General features: G+C 40.6%; 1 long non-coding RNA gene across 1 annotated transcript in view, besides 1 other annotated feature; it reads left to right on the top strand.

Annotated features, from left to right (window-relative positions):
* The window catches only part of LOC112267962 (uncharacterized), a 162,505-nt gene that overhangs the window by 9,289 nt on the left and 130,870 nt on the right, over nt 1-22,346 (top strand). The window lies entirely within an intron of this gene.
* Nucleotides 21,123-21,642: an enhancer, noted in NCBI's record as "NANOG hESC enhancer chr6:81225104-81225623 (GRCh37/hg19 assembly coordinates)". NCBI's record gives its function as "activates a minimal SCP1, AML or CMV promoter by ChIP-STARR-seq in naive H9 embryonic stem cells {active_cell/tissue: H9 hESC(naive)}" and the evidence as "EXISTENCE:reporter gene assay evidence [ECO:0000049][PMID:30033119]".

The following is a 22,346-nucleotide window of genomic DNA, read 5'->3' on the forward strand; positions in this document are numbered from 1 at the left end:
TATTTCCTTTTCCTGCCTGATTGCCCTGGCCAGAACTTCCAACACTATGTTGAATAGGAGTGGTGAGAGAGGGCATCCCTGTCTTGTGCCAGTTTTCAAAGGGAATGCTTCCAGTTTTTGCCCATTCAGTATGATACTGGCTGTGGGTTTGTCATAGATAGCTCTTATTATTTTGAAATACATCCCATCAATACCTAATTTATTCAGAGTTTTTAGCATGAAGGGTTGTTGAATTTTGTCAAAGGCCTTTTCTGCATCTATTGAGATAATCATGTGGTTTTTGTCTTTGGTTCTGTTTATATGCTGGATTACATTTATTGATTTGCATATATTGAACCAGCCTTGCATCCCAGGGATGAAGCCCACTTGATCATGATGGATAAGCTTTTTGATGTGCTGCTGGATTGGGTTTGCCAGTATTTTATTGAGGATTTTTGCGTCAATGTTCATCAAGGATATTGGTCTAAAATTCTGTTTTTTGGTTGTGTCTCTGCCCGGCTTTGGTATCAGGATGATGCTGGCCTCATAAAATGAGTTAGGGAGGATTCCCTCTTTTTCTATTGAATAGTTTCAGAAGGAATGGTACCAGTTCCTCCTTGTACCTCTGGTAGAATTCGGCTGTGAATCCATCTGGTCCTGGACTCTTTTTGGTTGGTAAGCTATTGATTATTGCCACAATTTCAGCTCCTGTTATTGGTCTATTCAGAGATTCAACTTCTTCCTGGTTTAGTCTTGGGAGAGTGTACGTGTTGAGGAATTTATCCATTTCTTCTAGATTTTCTAGTTTATTTGCATAGAGGTGTTTGTAGTATTCTCTGATGGTAGTTTGCATTTCTGTGGGATCGGTGGTGATATCCACTTTATCATTTTTTATTGCATCTATTTGAGTCTTCTCTCTTTTTTTCTTTATTAGCCTTGCTAGTGGTCTATCAATTTTGTTGATCCTTTCAAAAAACCAGCTCCTGGATTCATTAGTTTTTTGAAGGGTTTTTTGTGTCTCTATTTCCTTCAGTTCTGCTCTGATTTTAGTTATTTCTCGCCTTCTGCTAGCTTTTGAATGTGTTTGCTCTTGCTTTTCTAGTTCTTTTAATTACGATGTTAGGGTGTTAGTTTTGGATCTTTCCTGCTTTCTCTTGTGGGCATTTAGTGCTATAAATTTCCCTCTACACACTGCTTTGAAGGCATCCCAGAGATTCTGGTATGTTGTGTCTTTGTTCTCGTTGGTTTCAAAGAACATCTTTATTTCTGCCTTCATTTCGTTATGTACCCAGTAGTCCTTCAGGAGCAGGTTGTTCAGTTTCCATGTAGTTGAGTGGTTTTGAGTGAGATTCTGAATCCTGAGTTCTAGTTTGATTGCACTGTGGTCTGAGAGATAGCTTGTTATAATTTCTGTTCTTTTACATTTGCTGAGGAGAGCTTTACTTCCAAGTATGTGGTCAATTTTGGAATAGGTGTGGTGTGGTGCTGAAAAAAATGTATATTCTGTTGATTTGGGGAGGAGAGTTCTGTAGATGTCTATTAGGTCTGGTTGGTGCAGAGCTGAGTTCAATTCCTGGGTATCCTTGTTGACTTTCTGTCTCATTGATCTGTCTAATGTTGACAGTGGGGTGTTAAAGTCTCCCATTATTAATGTGTGGGAGTCTAAGTCTCTTTGTAGGTCACTCAGGACTTGCTTTATGAATCTGGGTGCTCCTGTATTGGGTGCATATATATTTAGGATAGTTAGCTCTTCTTGTTTAATTGATCCCTTTACCATTAAGTAATGGCCGCCTTTGTCTCTTTTGATCTTTGTTGGTTTAAAATCTGTTTTATCAGAGACTAGTATTGCAACCCCTGCCTTTTTTTGTTTTCCATTTGCTTGGTAGATCTTCCTCCATCCTTTTATTTTGAGCCTATGTGTGTCTCTGCATGTGAGATGGGTTTCCTGAATACAGCACACTGATGGGTCTTGACTCTTTATCCAATTTGCCAGTCTGTGTCTTTTAATTGGAGCATTTAGTCCATTTACATTTAAAGTTAATATTGTTATGTGTGAATTTGATCCTGTCATTATGATGTTAGCTGGTTATTTTGCTCATTAGTTGATGCAGTTTCTTCCTAGTCTCAATGGTCTTTACATTTTGGCATGATTTTGCAGTGGCTGGTACCGATTGTTCCTTTCCATGTTTAGCACTTCCTTCAGGAGCTCTTTTAGGGCAGGCCTGGTGGTGACAAAATCTCTCAGCATTTGCTTGTCCGTAAAGTATTTTATTTCTCCTTCACTTATGAAGCTTAGTTTGGCTGGATATGAAATTCTGGGTTGAAAATTCTTTTCTTTAAGAATGTTGAATATTGGCCCCCACTCTCTTCTGGCTTGTAGAGTTTCTGACATGAGATCTGCTGTTAGTCTGATGGGCTTCCCTTTGAGGGTAACCCGACCTTTCTCTCTGGCTGCCCTTAACATTTTTTCCTTCATTTCAACTTTGGTGAATCTGACAATTATGTGTCTTGGAGTTGCTCTTCTCGAGGAGTATCTTGGTGGCATTCTCTCTATTTCCTGAATCTGAATGTTTGCCTGCCTTGCTAGATTGGGGAGGTTCTCCTGGATAATATCCTGCAGAGTGTTTTCCAACTTGGTTCCATTTTCCCTGTCACTTTCAGGTACACCAATCAGATGTAGATTTGGTCTTTTCACACAGTCCCATATTTCTTGGAGGCTTTGCTCATTTCTTTTTATTCTTTTTTCTCTAAACTTCCCTTCTCACTTCATTTCATTCATTTCATCTTCCATTGCTGATACCCTTTCTTACAATTGATTGCATCGGCTCCTGAGGCTTCTGCATTCTTCACATAGTTCTCGAGCCTTGGTTTTCATCTCCATCAGCTCCTTTAAGCACTTCTCTGTATTGGTTATTCTAGTTATACATTCTTCTAAATTTTTTTCAAAGTTTTCAACTTCTTTGCCTTTGGTTTGAATGTCCTCCCATAGCTCGGAGTAATTTGATTGTCTGAAGCCTTCTCTCAGCTCGTCAAAGTCATTCTCCATCCAGCTTTTTTCCGTTGCTGGTGAGGAACTGCGTTCCTTTGGTGGAGGAGAGGTGCTCTGCTTTTTAGAGTTTCCAGTTTTTCTGCTCTGTTTTTTCCCCATCTTTGTGGTTTTATCTACTTGTGGTCTTTGATGATGGTGATGTACAGATGGGTTTTTGGTGTGGATGTCCTTTCTGTTTGTTAGTTTTCCTTCTAACAGACAGGACCCTCAGCTGCAGGTCTGTTGGAATACCCTGCCGTGTGAGGTGTCAGTGTGCCCCTGCTGGGGGGTGCCTCCCTGTTAGGCTGCTCGGGGGTCAGTGGTCAGAGACCCACTTGAGGAGGCAGTCTGCCCGTTCTCAGATCTCCAGCTGCGTGCTGGGAGAACCACTGCTCTCTTCAAAGCTGTCAGACAGGGACATTTAAGTCTGCAGAGGTTACTGCTGTCTTTTTGTTTGTCTGTGCCCTGTCCCCAGAGGTGGAGCCTACAGAGGCAGGCAGGCCTCCTTGAGCTGTGGTGGGCTCCACCCAGTTCGAGCTTCCCGGCTGCTTTGTTTACCTAAGCAAACCTGGGCAATGGTAGGTGCCCCTCCCCCAGCCTCGCTGCCGCTTTGCAGTTTGATCTCAGATTGCTATGCTAGCAATCAGCAAGACTCCATGGGTGTAGGACCCTCAGAGCCAGGTGTGGGATATAATCTCGTGGTTGGCCGTTTTTCAAGCCCGTCGGAAAAGCGCAGTATTTGGGTGGGAGTGACCTGATTTTCCAGGTGCCGTCTGTGACCCCTTTCTTTGACTAGGAAAGGGAACTCCCTGACCCCTTGCGCTTCCCTAGTGAGGCAATGCCTCGCCCTGCTTCGGTTCATGCATGGTGCGCGCACCCACTGACCTATGCCCACTGTCTGGCACTCCCTAGTGAGATGAACCCAGTACCTCAGATGGAAATGCAGAAATCACCCATCTTCTGCGTCTCTCACGCTGGGAGCTGTAGACTGAAGCTGTTCCTATTCGGCCATCTTGGCTCCTCCCAACTGTAATAATTGTATACTTGCTACATTCATCTTGTGTGGCCTCCATGATCTCCTCATTTTCCTTAGTGTTCAGCAGCTCCTCAGGCAGCACCATATTAATGAGGCACAGGACTTTTGTTGGGTAGCTGCCTATCTGCACCTGGGAGCACATCTGGCATGGCACTTAAAAAAAATGTTTAATGAGGAAATTCATCTAAAAAAATATGAAACTGCCACAGACAGTAAGAGAGCGATGGGGCCATGAGGCTGGAAATGGGTCAGGGGAAGACTACAGAAGAAAGAATCAACTACATTAAGTAAACATGGAGAAGATCAGAGAGGTCCAGGGGCAAGAGAAATGGAACCATGATCCTGGTAAGGATAAGGATAAGGCATTGAGGGCCAGACAACAAAATTCAAAATAGTTTGGCTGTAAAATATAAACACACTATGTTTCTAGTGTGCAGAAGGAGAGGAGGAAGGGGATATAAGGGAGAAGGAGAGGCTGTTTTAGAAGATATGGGGGTCCTATTCTGTCCTTCTGTGTACCCTATCCCTATCCCAACCCTTTCCTTCTGTGCCTGTGTGGGTGCATGTGTCTGTGTGGTCCTGTGTGTACACTTCCCCAGTTCCCTCCCTTCCCTGACCCTCCCCAAATCCCTTCCTTTCACTTTTTTTTTTTTTCTGAGACAGTTTTGATCTGTCACCCAGGCTGGAGTGCAGTGGCACAATATCTGCTCACTGCAACCTCCGCCTCCTGGGTTCAAGCGATTCTCCTGCTTCAGCCTCCCAAGTAGTTGGGACTACAGGTGCACACCACCACATCCCCACCAACTTAATTGTTTTTATTTTTTTCTGTTAAAGAAATGCTTTATTAACACAAACACACACAAGACAATCTATAAAGAACTAAAATATTTAAATATCTGTGTCATAGTAAACAGGTGCTAATTCAACATCCAGGGTTGGTGAAATGCTTGAAAGAGACTACAGTGGATTGGACTCTCATGGTGGAGGCAGCATCTTCACAAGTGAAGGGGAACCCAGCTACAACAGCTTTTAAATTCCCTCTCCTCTTCAAGGATCATAAGAGGCATTCCATTCAAAGGAATGTGCAATCTGGTGCTCTTCAACAAGGTGAAAACTCTCAAAATCCAATTATTCCTGTTCTCTGATGATATGATCTTATAACTAGAAAAATCTAAAGACCCCACCACAAAACTCTTAGATTTGATAAATGAATTCAGTCAATATCAGAATATAAAATCAATGTACAAAAATCATTAGCATTTCTGTACACTAATAATGATCTAGCTGACAACCAAATGAAGAAACTAATCCCATTTAGAATAGCTACAAAAAATTAAAATAACTATAAATATATTTAACCAAGGAGGTGAATCTCTACAAGGAAAACTGCAAAACACTGATGAGAGAAATTGTAGTTGACAGAGAAAAATGAAAAAACATTCCATGCTCAGGGATTAGAAGAATAAAAATCATAAAAATGACCATGCTCCCCAAAGTAATCTATGGATTCAATGCAATTCCTAGCAAAATATCAATGTCATTTTCCACAGAATTAGAAAAAACTATTCTAAAATTCATACGGAATCAGAAAAAAAAAAAAGCTGGAGACCTCACACTGCCTAAGTTCAAATTATACCATAAGGCTATAGTAATCAAAACAGCATGATACTATAACAACAGACTCATAGATCAATGGAATAGAATAGAGAATCCAGCAATAAAGCCACACATTTACAGCCAACTGATCTTTCACAAAGCCAACAAAAACATACACTGGGGAAAGGACACGTTTTTCAATAAAGTGCTGGGAAAGAAAAATTGAATCACCATATGCAAAAGAATGAAACTAGACCCACATTTCTCACCATATATACAAGAATCGACTCAAGGTGGATTACATATTTAATTGTAAGACATGGAACTATGAAAATACTAGAAGGACACTAAGAATAAACTCTAGTAAACATTGGTCTAAGCAAATAATTTATTACTAAGACCTCAAAAGCACAGGCAAAAGAACAAAAATAGACAAATGGGAGTTAATTAAATGACAAAGCGTCTGCACAACAAAAGAAATAATCAACAGAGTAAACAGAATCTGCGAATAAAATAAAATATTTGCAAACTATGCATCTGACAAGGGACTAATATCCAGACTTTAAAAGGAACTCAAGAACAGCAACAAAAACCAAATAATCCCATTAAAAATGGAGAAATGACATGAATAGACATTTTTAAAAAGAAGACAAAGAAATAGCCAACAGGCATACTCAGAAAACTAATCATCAGAGAAATGCAAATTGAAACCACAATGAGGCCTCAACTTATATCAGTGAGAATGGCTATCAATAAAAAGACAAAAAGTAAAAGATATTGGCAAGGATGTGGAGAGTAGGAAACTCATATGTCATTGTTGGGAATGTAAACTGATACAACCTCTATGGAAAAATCTATAAAGATTTCTCAACTAAAAATAGAACTACCATAGCCAGCATAGATAGCCAGCAATCTTACTACTGGCTATATCCCCAAAGGAAAATAAATCCTTATATCAAAAATACATCTTAATCTGTATGTTTATTATAGTGCTATTCACAATTGCAAAGATATGGATTCAGCCTAAGTGTCTATCAACATATGATTAGATTAAGAAAATGTTATATATACATATATACATATACATATGTATATGTATACATGTATAGATCATGAATATGCATGTGATTTATATGTATATATACATATAGATACACACCTATATACATATATACACAGATATATATATATATCATATATTCTCACTCATAAGTGAGATTAAATAATGTGTATACATGGATGTAGAGTGTGGAGTGACAGATAATAGAGACTCCGAAGGATGAGGGAGAGGAGAGAGAGTGGATGATGAGTAATTACTAAATGGGCATAATGTACATTAATCAAGTGATGGATATACTAAAAACCCTGACTTCACCACTACACAATGTATGCATGTAACAAAATTACACTTGTATCCCCAAGTTTATACTAAATAAATAAATAAAAATTTGGGGCCAGTCACAATAACTTACACCTGTAATCCCAGCACTTTAGGAGGCTGAGGCAGGTGGATCGCTGGAGCACAGGAGTTTGAGACCAGCTTGGGCAACACGATGAAATCCTGTGTCTACTAAAAATACAAAAAATTAGCTGGACATGATGGTACGCATGCAGTCCTAGCTATTCGAGAGGCTGAAGTGGGAAAATCACCTGAGCCTAGGAAGTTAATGCTGCAGAGAACTGTGATCACTCCAGTCCACTCCAGCCTGGTCAACGGGAGTGAGACCCAGTGTAAAAAAAAAAAAAAAATTACCTACCGACTATTGCTATTTTGGTGAGCTCAAGTGTTGAGAGAATCCACTTAAAAATAATGTTTGTCACTAATCGTCTTTGCTTGGGCAGTTCGTGTCTCCAGTAAACTGTGTATTGTAGTAAAAAGTACCTTCTAGTCATTCTCATGTGTTTTTCATCATGTTTAGTGCAATACTGTAAACTTTGACCAGCACCATGGGACCCATAGAAAGTGCCAGTAGTAATGCTGGAAGTGCTCTCAAGAAGCAAAGCCATGACATTACAATAAACAGTTGAATTGCTTGATACATACTGTAGATTGAGGTCTGTGACTGCGTTTGCCCACCATTTCAAGATAAATGAGTCCAGCTTAAGGGCCATTGTAAAAAAAAAGAAAAGAAAATTTGCTGCACTGTGCCATAGGCATAAAAACCTTGCACTTTTTGCAAAATACCTTTTTATCTCATATTCAAAATGCAGCTATTATGTGGGTGCAGGAAAGAAAGGCATACCTGGAGACCCTGATATGATATGAAAAATGAAGTCATTGTATGGCAACTTAAAGCAAAAGAAAGGTGAAGGATCTAAAGTTGGAGAATTGAATGCCAGTGAAGGATGGTTTGATAATTTTAGAAAAAGGCAGCTTTAAAAATGTTAAGACAAAAGAAGCAGCAGCTTCTTCTGACTAAGAGGCAGCAGAGTTTTCAGACACCATTAAGAAAATCATGGAGGAGAAAGGATATCTGCCTGAACAGGTTTTTAATAAAGACAACATTGCCCTATTCTGGAAAAATAAATGCCAAGAAGGACATTTATTACTAAGGAAGGGAAGTGAACACCAGGATTTAAGACAGTCTGGGATAGGCTAAGTCTACTCTTTTAAACAAATGCATTTGTGTTTATAATCAGGACTACTCTTATCTATAAAGCTACTAAATCATGAGCCTCAGAGGGAAAAGATAAACACCATCCTCAAGTCCTTTGGTTGTACCTTGAAAAGGCCTGGACAATGAGAACCCTTTTTATGGATTGATTCTCTCCCAGAAGTCAGAAAGTACCTTGCCAGTAAGAGGCTGCTTGTTAAAGTTCTTTTGATATTGGACAATGCCCCTGACCATTAAGAACCACATGAGCTTAATACCGAAGTCATCGAAGTGGTCTACTTGCTCCCAAATGTGTCTAATTTAGCCTCTAGATCAGGGAGTCATAAGGATCTCTGAAGCTCATTACACATGGTCCTCTATGGAAAGGATTGCCACTGCTATAGAGGAGAACCCTGAGAGAGAGAATATAATGAAATTTTGAAAGGATACACCTTTGAAGTTGCCATTGTTGTTGTAGAAAAATCCATAAAGGCCATCAAGCCCCAAACAATAAACTCCTGCTGGGAAAAACTGTGTCCAGATGTTGTGCATGACTTAACAGGATTTATAACAGAGCCAATAAAGGAAATTGTGAAAGAGATTGTGAAGACAGCAAAAGAGGTTGGGGGACGGGGTGAAGAGTTTCAAGATATGAATCTTGGAGAAAATCAAGAGTGAACAGACATCACACCAGAAAAATAAACAGATGATGCCCTGATAGAGATGAATACTTCCAAACCAGTGCAGATGATGTGAAAGAAGATGTAAAAAAAGAAGCAGCACTATAAAACAAATTGACATTAGACAATCTAGCAGAAGGGTTCTGATTATTCAAAACTGCCTTTGATGTCTTTTACAGCACAGACCCTTCTATGACACTGGCACTAAATCTAAAGCAAATGGTAAAAGGGTTGGTGCCATGCAGAAACATTTTTAGAAAAATGTCAGAGAGAAATTATATGTTTTCATAAAGTGACACCATGTACCTGCCTCTACTGCCTCCCCTTTCACCTCCTCCACATCTTCTACCCCTGCACCTCCTTTGTCCTCTGCCTTCTCCTCAGCCTACTCAATGTGGAGGCAATGAGGATGAAGATCTTTATGATGAACCACTTTCACTAAATGAATAGTAACTGTATTTTCTCTTTCTTATAACTTTCCTCAATAATATTTTATTTTCCCTAGCTTACTTTATTGTAAGAATACAGCATATAATACATATAGTATTCAAAATATAGGTTGACTGTTCATATTATTGGTAAGGTTTTGGGTCAACAGTAGACTATTAGTAGTTAGGTTTTTGAGGAGTCAAAAGTTACACGTGGATTCTTCACTGTGCAGGGGCCCCATACCCCTAACGCATTGTTGTTCAAGGGTCAACTGTATATTTGGCAAACTCATGGAATGTACAGCACTATGGACTTTGGGTGCTGATGGGCTAATGTAGGGTTATTGGTGATAACAAATATACCACTCTGGTGCAGGATGTTGATAGCAGGGGAGGCTGTGCATGTGTGGGAGTATAGGGTATGGGGGAACTCTGTGCTTCCTACTTGATTTTTCTGTAAACCTAAAACTGCTCTAAAAAATAAAATCTATTTTATTAAAAAAGAGCAAAACATAGAGATCATTAAGGACAAGAGAAAATCATATTAATTGAAAGAAATTGAGACTGTTGAAAGAGGAGGGAATCTAGAATTTGGAAACTCTAGCACAACAAAATGCCAGCTAGACAGGTCTTCATCTTCCAGGTGATATATAAGCACTAAGTGACCATAGTGCCCAGCAGGCTCTGACACTGGCTAAAGGGTTTTCAACCTGATCCTTTGAAGAATTTTCTACTGTTTAATAGGTCTGTATCTCCAAATTTATAAGTGAAATCAATGAGTAAATTCTACATGTGTGTGTATATAATTTTAAAATTGATTTAAAAAAATTGTATAAAATCAGATAAATTCAATGTATTAGTTCTTACATTTATTAAATGATAAAAATCCACACATATTTTATGTTTTTATAATTGAACTATTATTATTTCCTCACATATGGATTCACCATGATAAAAATGACTAGATATATATTTTTGGAAAAGCAGTGGTTCTTACACATGGAGGGCTTTTTCAGACAGATTGCTGGGCCCCATCCCCAGAGTTTCTGATTCAGTAGGTCTAAGGGTGGGACCTAACAAGTTGCATTTCTAATAACATGTTGCTGAAATTACTGGTGCAAGATCTCACTTCAAACACTACTGACATGTAATTTTAGTGTTGAATAAAGTGATTTCTCATTCATGAGTTATTTAGTCTTTGTCACAACCCTGATCAATGCACATTATTATTCTCATTTTATACAAGTAGACTCTGAGCCTCAGAGGGTTAAACAGATTTCCCAAGATCACTCAAATGATGTGTCAAAAAGAACAAGAGGGAAGTCTTTTTTGTACCTACAGTTTTCTGGTATCCTTCCTTTGATATCTAGGGTTATCTCTAATATGGCATTTGATTGTACTTTATTTCAGAAGGCGGAGTTTTGGTCTACATATTATTTCCTCCATTATTTACAGCAAGTGCTATATTTATGCCTGAGTCGGCATTTTTACTACTTTTTCACTCATGTGTAAAACATTGTCTGTGAATGGAATAAAAGCCTTTATAATAATAGAATATAAATTTCAGAGAGGGTGTGGGTAAAATTTTTATTACTTGTTTTAGACACAGCGGCACTTGGCCCTGTGTCATATGTTCAATTATTACTAAGCTCTCTTTATAACTATGAACTTGAATGTCAGAGGTTGAAGCAAAAGAAATTTGGAGAATGAAAGTGAATTAACATTTATTCAGGACCTACCTGAGCTAGATACTTTATTAAGCCTATTCTCTCACTTTTAATAAGGACAGAGGGAAATTAGAATAGAGGAAGATATGAATATGCAGGTAAAATTAAAATATTATTTGTGACAAACTAAACAAATTTTAAGTTTCAATATATAAAATATTGTCTATGAATGGAATAAAAGCCTTTACAAAAATAGATCCAAATTTCTAATATACTATAATTCTGATTCAAATTAAATACTGATGGATCCACACTTTCTGCAATATCACTTTGCAAAGCAAAATTATGCCAGTTGACTCCTGTCTTCAGAGTTTGAGAGTTCTATTTCTTCAAGTCTATAGTTTTAAAATTTTAAAATTATATGTATATTCATATTTATTTCCAGGCACTCTGCCTACTTTTGTTCTGGTCTTTCCATGTTTTCTTCTTTTTCTTTTTCCCTCCTTCACTGCTTGAGTCCAACACAAACGATTCCCTTTCAACGCACGGTTCTGCTCATTATTTAAGACGGAAATATGGCTAAAAAGGCATTTTTCTCATGCTATTTCTAGGATACCTCAAATTCAGCCTTGCTTCTAGTCCAATTCTTATGGAAAACCCAACCAACAGCTTCTGGAAAACCTAACCAGCATCTCCAGCAAAACAAGTTTATATTCCGTGGCCCATTTACCATCTACTCCAGTGAAAAACAAATTGGTTGGACTGTATTGCCATTATAAGACTATTGTAGCAGCAAATTTTATGGAATAACTCAACCGTAATTACAAAGAAAAACCAACATAGCAATAAAGCAATTTTAAAGAGTATTTCTTATTTAGCCCAAATTTTCTATTCTCGGAAAATGGTCATCCTAAACCCAAGAAGGGTCAGCACTGGCAGGAGACAAGCAACAGACTGCTGATGTGTTTCTTAAAAAGTCACGGTCTTCACAGGAAGACTTGACTCTAGGCTGTAAAAATGTATTCTCAAATTTTACAAGAAAAAAAGTCTCTCCAGAGTGGTGAGAATGTAGAATATGTTCTCACAAGATGGATCTTCCAGGAGTATAAATGGGTGATTGCCCTTTATATGCAAGGTTGCCACTTGTCTTAGGCAGGCTTGTAGTTTACATATAGACACTGGAAACACAGAGCTCACTATTAAAACAAGAACTTTAGTCTACAAATAGCATAACTTCACCCCCATTTGGTCTGGTGGGGCAGTGAGTGTGTTGGCACCTTTTTCTTTCATCATTGGCTCATCCGAAGTTCATGACTAATTGCTTAAAAAAATGCAATCACATTTTTAATGTATTTAACTAATTTTCTTCTTTATTATTCTGATAACCTTTTATTAAATGCCTTTTTTGTGTACAGTTGGCATTATAAAAAAATTTTCATCATGATACCATTGAAGCTTATGGTTGAAATTTCCTGGTCTATGTTAGCTTTAAAATAAACTCACACTGCCTTCTCAATGAAATAGCTTTTTTTTGGTTTTGACTTGGCATTCATCATATATTCATGGTTTTCATATCCATTTTTTTAAATTTTTGCCTTTTAAAAAGTTTAGCACAGAATTAACTATGCTGAGATGTAAGGATGTGTTTGTTCTAGCAGTATGAAAAATACAACTAGACCTGTCTTTTAAAAGGAATACCAGTCTCAGATATTTCTTTATAGCAATGCAAAAACAAACTATTGTGAGTCAGTCGTGGAATTGCTGGATTGTCTGGCTTTGAATTCCTAGTTAGCCTCAGTTGCTTATTTTTTAAAAAATGGGATTATATAAATTGCTATTCAAAGCATCATTTTGAATATTAAATGTGAAAATATTTGTTTTGAGCAAGCCCTCAACAAAGAATAACTCCTTCGTATACAAGTTACTTGGTTCAGTGGTGGTATTGTTTTAATTTATATTTTAAAATTCTATGGCAATCAGAACCACTCTAGTATTGCCCTATTTTTCTCTTTATTTCTTTATTTCTCCAGACTTCTGATGTATTTCTGTCATGATGCAATTTGACAAGTAATTAATTTGTTGATGCCTAGGGAGGAAGGCAGTTTCCGAGCCCTCCCAGGACACATGGGTCTTCGGCAGAATTGGTCCCCACTTTGCTTTAAAGGGACAATAAAGGGAAAGCTGGGTCTTCAAAATCAGGTATGAAAATGTTAGGAGATGGATTAGTTTTGGTTCATGCATGTTAGTATGTAAGTGACATTGCCTATCCTCTCAGGGCATAGGATCCACCTATATAGAAATAATTGAGCAGTCCACCCAGTTTGTTGACCTAGCTAGACTTTGAGAACAGGACTGAATTTTGTCCAATTTAGGGGACAATGAGATTGCAGGCCATGAGAAAATTTCAGGGTACAAAAATGTTAAGGGAACTTTGCCATTAATCTGAGTCAATGTCCCATAAATGTATGGGCAATGTATTAGGAGGACAAAAGGGCAGTGTGGTGATTGGAAAAGTGGAAAGAATGTGTGCCCCTGTTTTTTTCCTCAGACCTCTTTGACTCTGCTGGCCCATCTCCTGTAGAGTCCTGTTCCTCTCCCAGAACATTAAACATGGGGATTTCCAGGGTTCCTTCCTTACACCACTGCTCTTCTCACTAAACACACTCTGGAATGATCTCATTTACTCTCAGAATCTTCATTACCACCTATATCTCCCTTTCAGATATTTCCCCTGACAAACACATTCTTCATTCCAACTGCTGGTTGTATTATTTCTGTCAATGAGTTTCATGGGCTGTTCAGTCTCAGTGCATGTCACATTAAAATCTTCATGGTACCAACTCAGCAAACTCCCATCTCTGTAGATTCTGTGTTATCACTGTGCATCTATTTCTCAACTTAGAATTATCTGTGGCTCCCTCCTCCCCTTCAGCTTCCACATCCATTAGGACCTGACAATTTTACTTTTTATTTCTTGAATCTTTGCCTTCTAGTATATGTCCAACTTCCATGCATTATCCTTTTTTTTTTTTCAGTAGCCTTCTAACTAGATCCATTCTCCACACAGCCACCAGAATGGTGGATCTGAAATGTAAATCTTATTATGTTTCTCTCAGCCATAAGGTAAAGTTCAAATCCTTAGGGTGACACAAAAAGCCTTCCATGATTTGCTACTGACTGAACACTCATGGTCCATCCTGGGTGCTCCAGTTTTATGCAGCAGCTTCTGGGCCTCTGCACATAGCAAACTACTTTTCTGTATTGTTTTTTGTTGTTGTTATCTCCTTGGACTTTTGTGCCATTTCTTACCTCTCCACCTACCTAAATCCTACAGCTTTTTAAAATCTTAGTTGAGATGATCACTTCCCCCAGGAGCCTTCATTGTATTGATTTGCCATTTAAGTTCTGTTATCATTTGTCATTCATTTGGGTTCTTCAGAAGCAATCTATCGGAGGAGAATTCATGGAAAATTGTTAAGAAGCATTCCCTGGAAAAACCAACTGAGAAATGAGGAAGCTGGACTAATAGGGAAAAGGAAGCAGACAGATAAAAGTGTGTTATCAAGCAAAATTCTACAGACGGTAACTTTGGCTCAGTCTCACAGGGAAGCTCTGAAAAGAAAAAAGTGTAGGTCACACCTCAGAGTTGTCTTGATTGGCATGAAGGAGATGAAGTAGTTATAGTTCTGCTCCCTGCAGTTATTGTTAAGGGCTACCCTCCAGTACAATGTAAATTCTCAGCCATTTGTGTAAACAGGCAAATGTGTACTGGCTTGTGTGAGTGAAAGCACATTTCACAAGAGTTGCACAATAATGGTAAAGAGGTCAAGGGAGTAAGACTGGAGCATCTGTTCCTGGATTCAATTCTTGATGGTTCCATAATATTGCCATATCAAAAAAGTGAGGCTTATTTGGCTTGTCACAGCCTGGGAACACATACTGCAAAAGGGACTGTGGGGTATTTCAATAAGAGAGGATGGGAAGGGGCTTTTTATAGGGTTCAGGCTTGTGCTGAATGGGTCTCAGGAGGGCTTAGGGAAGTGGTCATCAGGTTTCTATTGATGCTGTTGAGGAGCAACAGCAGTTCAGCAATTGGATACCTCAATGATCTTTGTTTGAGAGGCAAAAGAATGCAGTAGGGCTGAGATGTCATTGGTGGGAAAGCAACAGTTGACTCAGAAGATGTAGGTATAAAATGACTAACATTTGTGGACTTGGAGCTATAATGAAAACATTGTTTTCTATTGACCTTGCTCAGGTATAATTGAAAACATTCTATTAGGAGAAGCACAGTTTAATTATCAGCAATGTTTATTTTCACTTTCTTATCAATCATCACCATCATGAGTTAGTCCATAAATCCTACTATACAGGGAAGATTAAACAACTAACATACTACTTAACTTCGGGGGTTTATGGTTTAAAGTAATTTCCTCTCAAACAGAAATTCTGACAAGCTTGTAATATGTCACAATTGCTTTACCGGGTGCTAAAACACTCCAGTTTATATTAGGTGGTTACTTTCATGCGCGTCCATGTGAAGACACCACCAAACAGGATTTGTGTGAGCAACGAGGCTGTTTATTTCACCTGGGTGCAGGCGGGCTGAGTCTGAAAAGAGTCAGGGAAGGGAGATAGGGGTGGGGCCATTTTATAGGATTTGGGTAGGTAAAGGAAAATTACAGTCAAAGGGGGTTGTTCTCTGGTTGGTAGGTGTAGGGGTCACAAGGTGCTCAGTAAGGGAGTTTTTGAGCCAGAATGAGCCAGGAGAAGGAATTTCACAAGATAATGTCAACAGTTAAGGTAGGAACAGGCCATTTTTACTTCTTTTGTGGTGGAAAGTCATCAGTTAAGGCAGGAACTGGCCATCTGGATGTGTACATGCAGGTCACAGGGGATATGATGGCTTAGCTTGAGCTCAGAGGCCTGACATTCTTGTCTTCTTATATTAATAAGAAAAATAAAACAAAATAGTGGTAAAATGTTGGGGCAGCGAAAATTTTTGGGGGTGGTATGGAGAGATAATGGGCGATGTTTCTCAGGGCTGCTTTGAGTGGGATTAGGGGTGGTGTGGGAACCTAGAGTGGGAGAGATTAAGCTGAAGGAAGATTTTGTGGTAAGGGGTGATATTGTGGGGTTGTTAGAAGAAACATTTGTCATTTAGAATTATTGGTGACAGCCTGGATACGGTTTTGTATGAATTGAAAAACAACGGAATAAGAGAAGGAGAAAAACAAGTATTAAAGGTCTAAGAATTGGGAGGACCTAGGACATCTAATTAGAGAGTGCCCAAGGAGATTCAGCATAGTTCTGCCAGCAAAGATTATTTATTTACTTTAAGAGTTAAGAGTGGCAGTTTGGGGATAGCACCAGGAGATATCAGCTGTGATGGCTTGGAGAAACAGTGTAAACAGGCAGGGTAAACAAGAGCAGGGCATGTATGAGTAGTTGAGAATGGTGAATAGGAGTATGACTAGACAGAAGATAGGAGTTTTTTGAGGCACAGTCCAAGTTGGTCTGGAGTCTGGAATGAGACTGTGGCCTAATAAAAAGGAGCGTCTATACAGGAGCTCAAATGGGCTGTACCTTGTAGCCTTCTGAGGACAGGCCTGAATTCTGAGAAGGGAAAGTGGTAAAAGTATTGTCTAGTCCTTTTTAAGTTGGTGGCTGAGCTTGGTGAGGTGTGTTTTTAAAAGACCATTAGTCCATTCTACCTTTCCTGAACACTGAGGACGGTAAGGGATATAAAGGTTTCACTGAATATCAAGAGCCTGAAAAACTGCTTGGGTGATTTGACTAATAAAGGCCGGTCTGCTATCAGACTGTATAGAGGTGGGAAGGCCAAACTGAGGAATTATGTCTGACGGAAGGGAAGAAATGACCACGGTGGCCTTCTTAGACCTTGTAGGAAAGGCCTCTACTTATCCAGTGAAAGTGTCTACCTAGACTAAGAGGTATTTTAGTTTTCTGACTCAGGGCATGTGAGTAAAGTCAATTTGCCAGTCCTGGGCAGAGGCAAATCTCCGAGCTTGATGTGTAGGAATGGGAGGAGGCCTGAACAATCCTTGAGGGGTAGTAGAATAGCAGATGGAACACTGAGAAGTGATTTCCTTGAGGATAGATTTCTATGATGGAAAGGAAATGAGAGGTTCTAAGAGATGGGCTAGCGGCTTGTAAGCTACATGGAAGAGGTTATGAAATGATGACAGAATAGAATGGGCCTGTGAGGCTGGAAGGAGATATTTTCCTTGGTCTAAGAACCATTTGCCTTGTGTGGGAAGAGATTGATATGTGGAAGTTTCAGCGGGGGAGTAGGTGGGAGTGACCGATGTAAAGGAGAGAAACTGGCTGTGAGGGACAGAAGTTGGAAAGCTAGCTGCTTGTCTAGCCACCTTATCAGCATAAGCGTTGCCTAGAGCAATGGGATCTGATGCCTTTTGATGGCCTTTGCAGTGAATGACTTCAGCTTCCTTTGGAAGTAAAGCGGCCTTAAGCAGAGTTTTTAATTAAAGAGGCATTAATGATGGAGGACCCTTGCGTAGTGAGGAAACCTCTTTCAGCCTATATAACAGCATGGTGGTCCAGAATATGAAAGGCATACTTAGAGTCAGTATAAATATTGATGCGTAGTCCTTTTGCAAGAGTGAGGGCTTGAGTTAAGGCAACTGGTTCAGCTTGATGAGAAGTAGTGGAGGGAGGCAGAGAGGTAGCCTCAATGATAGATGTGGAAGATACTATAGCATAGCCTGCCTTTGCTGGTGAGTGGCGATTAGGCCTGGTGGAACTGCCATCAATAAACTAAATGTGATCAGGCTGAGGAACAGGAAATAAGGAAATATGGGGAAATGGGGTGAATGTCAGGTGGATCAGAGAGATACAGTCATGAGGGTCAGGTGTGGTAACTAGAATAACGTGGGAGGCCAGATTGAAGTCCATGGCAGGAACAATGGTAATTGCGGGAGACTCAACAAAGAGTGAGTATAGCTGAAGGAGCCAGGAAGCAGAAAGTATATGCGTCAGGTATGAGGAAGAAAATAGATTTTGGAAGTTATGAGAACTATAGAGAGTGAGTTGAGCATAGTTTGTGATTTTGAGGGCCTCTAAAAGTATTAAGGCAGCGGCAGCTGCTGCACGCAGACATAAGGGCTAGGCTAAAACAGTAAGGTCAAATTGTTTGGACAGAAAGGCTACAGGGTGGGGTCCAGGCTCTTGTGTAAGAATTCTGACTGCACTAACCATGCCTAGGAAGGAAAGGAGTTGTTGTTTTGTAGAAGGGATCGAGGTTTGGGAGATTAGTCGGACATGATCAGCAGGGAGAGCACGTATGGTTTATGAGAATTATGCCAAGATAGGTAACAGATGAGGATGAAATTTGGGCTTGACTGAAGTAATGGGGGCTATCTGTGAAGCCTTGTGGCAGTACAGCCTACATAATTTGCTGAGCCTGATGGGTGTCAGGGTCAGTCCAAGTGAAAGCGAAGAGTGGCTGCAAAGGAATAGTAAAGAAAGCATGTTTGAGATCCAGAACAGAATAATGGATTGTGGAGGGAGGTATTGAGGATAGGAGAGTATATGGGTTTGGCACCATGGGGAGGATAGGCAAAACAATTTGGTTGATAAGGCGCAGATCCTGAACTAATTTGTAAGGCTTATCTGGTTTTAGGACAGGTAAAATAGGGGAATTGTAAGGAGAGTTTATAGGCTGTAAAAGGTCATGCTGTAGCAGGCGAGTGACAACAGGCTTTAATCTTTTTAAAGCATGCTGCAGGATGGGATATTGGCATTGATCAGGGGAAGGGTGATTAGGTTTTAATGAGAAGGTAAGGGGTGCATGATCAGTCGCCAAGGAGGGAGTAGAGGTGTCCTATACTTATGGGTTAAGGTGGGGGGATAGAAGGGGAAGACGCAAAGGAGGCTTTGGATTGGGAAGAAGGGTGGCAATGAGATGTGGCTGTAGCCCAGGAATAGTCAGGGAAGCAGATAATTTAGTTAAAGTGTCTCAGCCTAATAAGGGAACTGGGCAGTAGGGATAGCTAAAAAAGAGGGCTTTAAAAAGTGTTGTCTAAGTTGGCACCAGAGTTGGGGAGTTTTAAGAGGTTTAGAAGCCTGGCCATCAATACCTACAACAGTTATGGAGGCAAGGGAAACAGGCCCTTGAAAAGAAGGTAATGTGTAGTGGGTAGCCTCCATATTGATTAAGAAGGGGACGGACTTACTTTCCACTGTGAGAGTTACCTGAAGCTCGGCGTCTGTGATGGTCTAGGGGGCTTCTGAGGCGATTAGGCAGTGTCAGTCTTCAGCTGCTAAGCCAAGAAGATCTAGGAAGGAGTCAGTCAGAAAGCCTTGGGCCAGAGTTCCAGGGGCTCTGGGAGTGGCTGCCAGGTGAGTTGAACAGTCCGATTTTCAGTGGGGGTCTGCACAGATGGGACGTGGCTTAGGAGGAATCCTGGGCTGCGGGCATTCCTTGGCCCAGTGGCCAGATTTCTGGCACTTGTAGCAAGCTCCTGGGGGAGGCGGGCCTGGAGGAACACCTGGCCACTGCGGTTTAGGCGTTTGGAAGTTCTTGTGTGCTGGAAATATGGCTGGGGTTTGTCTCACAGTGGAGGCAAGGAATTGCAACTTGGAAATACGTTGCTACTTGGCTGCCTCTACTCTATTATTGTACACTTTGAAGGTGAGGTTAATTAAGTCCTGTTGTGGGGTTTGAGGGCTGGAATTTAATTTTTGGAGTTTTATTTAATGTCAGGAGCAGATTGGGTAATAAAATGTATATTGAGAATAAGACAGCCTTTTGACCTTTTAGGGTCTAGGACTATAAAGCATCTCAGGGTTGCTGCCAAATGAGCCATGAATCAGGCTGGGTTTTTATATTTGATGAAAAAGAGCCTAAACACTGTCTGGTTTGGGATAAAGAAAAAGGAGCATTAACCTTGACTATGCCTTTAGCTCCAGCCACCTTTTTAAGAGGAAATTGCTGGGCAGGTGGGGTAGGGCTAGTTGAGGAACGAAACTGTAAGCCGGACTGGGTGTGAGGAGGGAGGTGATTAAAACATTATAGGATAGAGGAGTGGAGGCTGAGGAAGAATTTGGACCTAGCTCTGCCTGGCGAGGAGCAGCCTTGGGAGGAGGGGAGAAGTCAGATGGGTCTGTAGAAAAGGAAGATTAGAAAGACTCAGTGACTTTTGGGGTTGGGACTGAGGGGACAGGCAGACAGGAAAGAAGGAAGATTTGGGACGAGTTGCACTGGGCACAGAGACTAGGAAGGGACTGATGTGTAAAAGAATGCCTGGACGTCAGGCACCTCAGACTGTTTGCTTATTTTATGACAAGAATTATGTAGATCTTGTAGGATGGAAAAATTGAAAGTGCCATTTTCTGGCTATTTGGAACCACTGTCAAGTTTGTATTGGGGTCAAGGGGTGTTGCAGAAGAAAATAAGACACTTAGATTTTAGGTCATGCAAGAGTTGAAGAGGTTTTAAGTTCTTAAGAACACAGGCTAAGGGAGAAGAAGGAGGAATGGAGGGTGGAAGTTTGCCCATAGTGAAGGAGGCAAGTTTAAAGAGAAGGGTAGAGACACGGAGAAGGGGATGGGGAGCAGCCCTGGGCTGCAACATGGGTGAGCAGCCAAAGCAGGCGTCCCTGCAATTGACTTGCCACCAAGGGAACATGGGTGAATGATGAAGGCAGGCATCCCCGCAGAGATCAGATACCAATGAAACATGGGTGAATAATCAGAGAGGTGTCCCCGCAATGATTAAACACCAAGGGAAGGCTGCCTTCCCGAGTCCGTGACCGGCGCCTGAGTTTTGGGTCCATGGATAAAATGTGTCTCCTTTGTCTCTACCAGAAAATGAAAGGAATTGAAATTAAGAGAAGGGAGAGATTGAAGTGTGGCACCAAGATTGAAAGGAGAAAGAGGTTGAGGGATAGTGAGGGAGGTTGGAGAAGAGAGTAAAAAGAGGCTGCTTACCGAATTTGAAATTGGTGAGATGTTCCTTGGGCTGGTTGTTCTGAGGACCTGAGGTCGTAGGTGGATCTTTCTCATGGAGCAAAGAGCAGGAGGACAGGGGATTGATCTCCCAAGGGAGGTCCCCCGATCTGAGTCACAGCACCAAATTTCATGTGTGTCCATGTAAAGAGACCACCAAACAGGCTTTGTGTGAGCAACAAGGCTGTTTATTTCATGTGGGTGCAGGTGGGCTGAGTCCGAAAAGAGAGTCAGGGAAGGGAGATAGGGGTGGGGCCATTTTATAGGATTTGGGTAGGTAAAGGAAAATTACAGTCAAAGGGGGTTATTCTCTGGCGGGCAGGTGTGGGGGTCACAAGGTGCTCAGTAGGGGAGCTTTTGAGCCAGGATGAGCCAGGAGAAGGAATTTCACAAGATAATGTCATCAATTAAGGCAGGAACAGGCCATTTTCACTTCTTTTGTGGTGGAATATCATCAGTTAAGGCAGGAACTGGCCATCTGGATGTGTACATGCAGGTCACAGGGGATATGATGGCTTAGCTTGGGCTCAGAGGCCTGACAGTTACTATCAGGAGACTTTAGGCAGAAGGTTGGGACTGACAATCAGGTTGATGTGGCAGTCTGGTGCTCACTTAATACTCCACTACTCTGCGTGCTTGGAGGTGGAAAGAAAGCAAACAAAACATTTCTTTTTTCCAGATGGGCCACATTTCCAAAGTTATTTTCACTGGCTTATTGGAGCTAAATTATCATTAAGGTCCCTGCACAAAACAGATACACTCAAATTGAGTAATTGGAAGGAAGTATAATAAAGGGGTCAGTTGAAAAGATGTGGGCAAGGAAAACCATATGGGAAGTCAGGAACCCAGAACTAGTGGAGACTGTTATTCCTAGGCCCAAAGGAGTAAGGGAAGGAAGTGGTGATAGAATCTAGAGACAGAACAGAATGTCTGGAAAAGGCAGGCTAACAGAAAAATGATCTTCATTCATGGGATAGAGCAAGCTGAGGTGATCCTCCCTCCAAGAAGCCAGGGGAAAAAATGCTCAGCTTTCTCTATCCCATGAATGAAGATCATTTTTCTGTTAGGCTGCCTTCTATGAAGAGCTGCCTCCTATGTCTTACTGGTGCTCTCCACTGGCCAATACAACAGGAAGCCAGAAGGCAAGGGGACTCTTTGAAAAGGTCCCTTCGAATCAGCCTCCTGGAACACAGAGCAGGATGGATCAGGGTGGAAGTGGATCTGAAATGGTAGATGGAAGAAATCTGGCACAGCCCATCTAGAGTGATGATAGAATTTTCTTGGCTGTTATGGATCAGAGGTCTCTGAATCTGCCTTCATCTGAATTGTCATATTTATGTCAACAAAG

Source organism: Homo sapiens, chromosome 6 (genome assembly GCF_000001405.40).
Source record: "Homo sapiens chromosome 6, GRCh38.p14 Primary Assembly".
Lineage (NCBI taxonomy): Eukaryota > Metazoa > Chordata > Mammalia > Primates > Hominidae > Homo > Homo sapiens.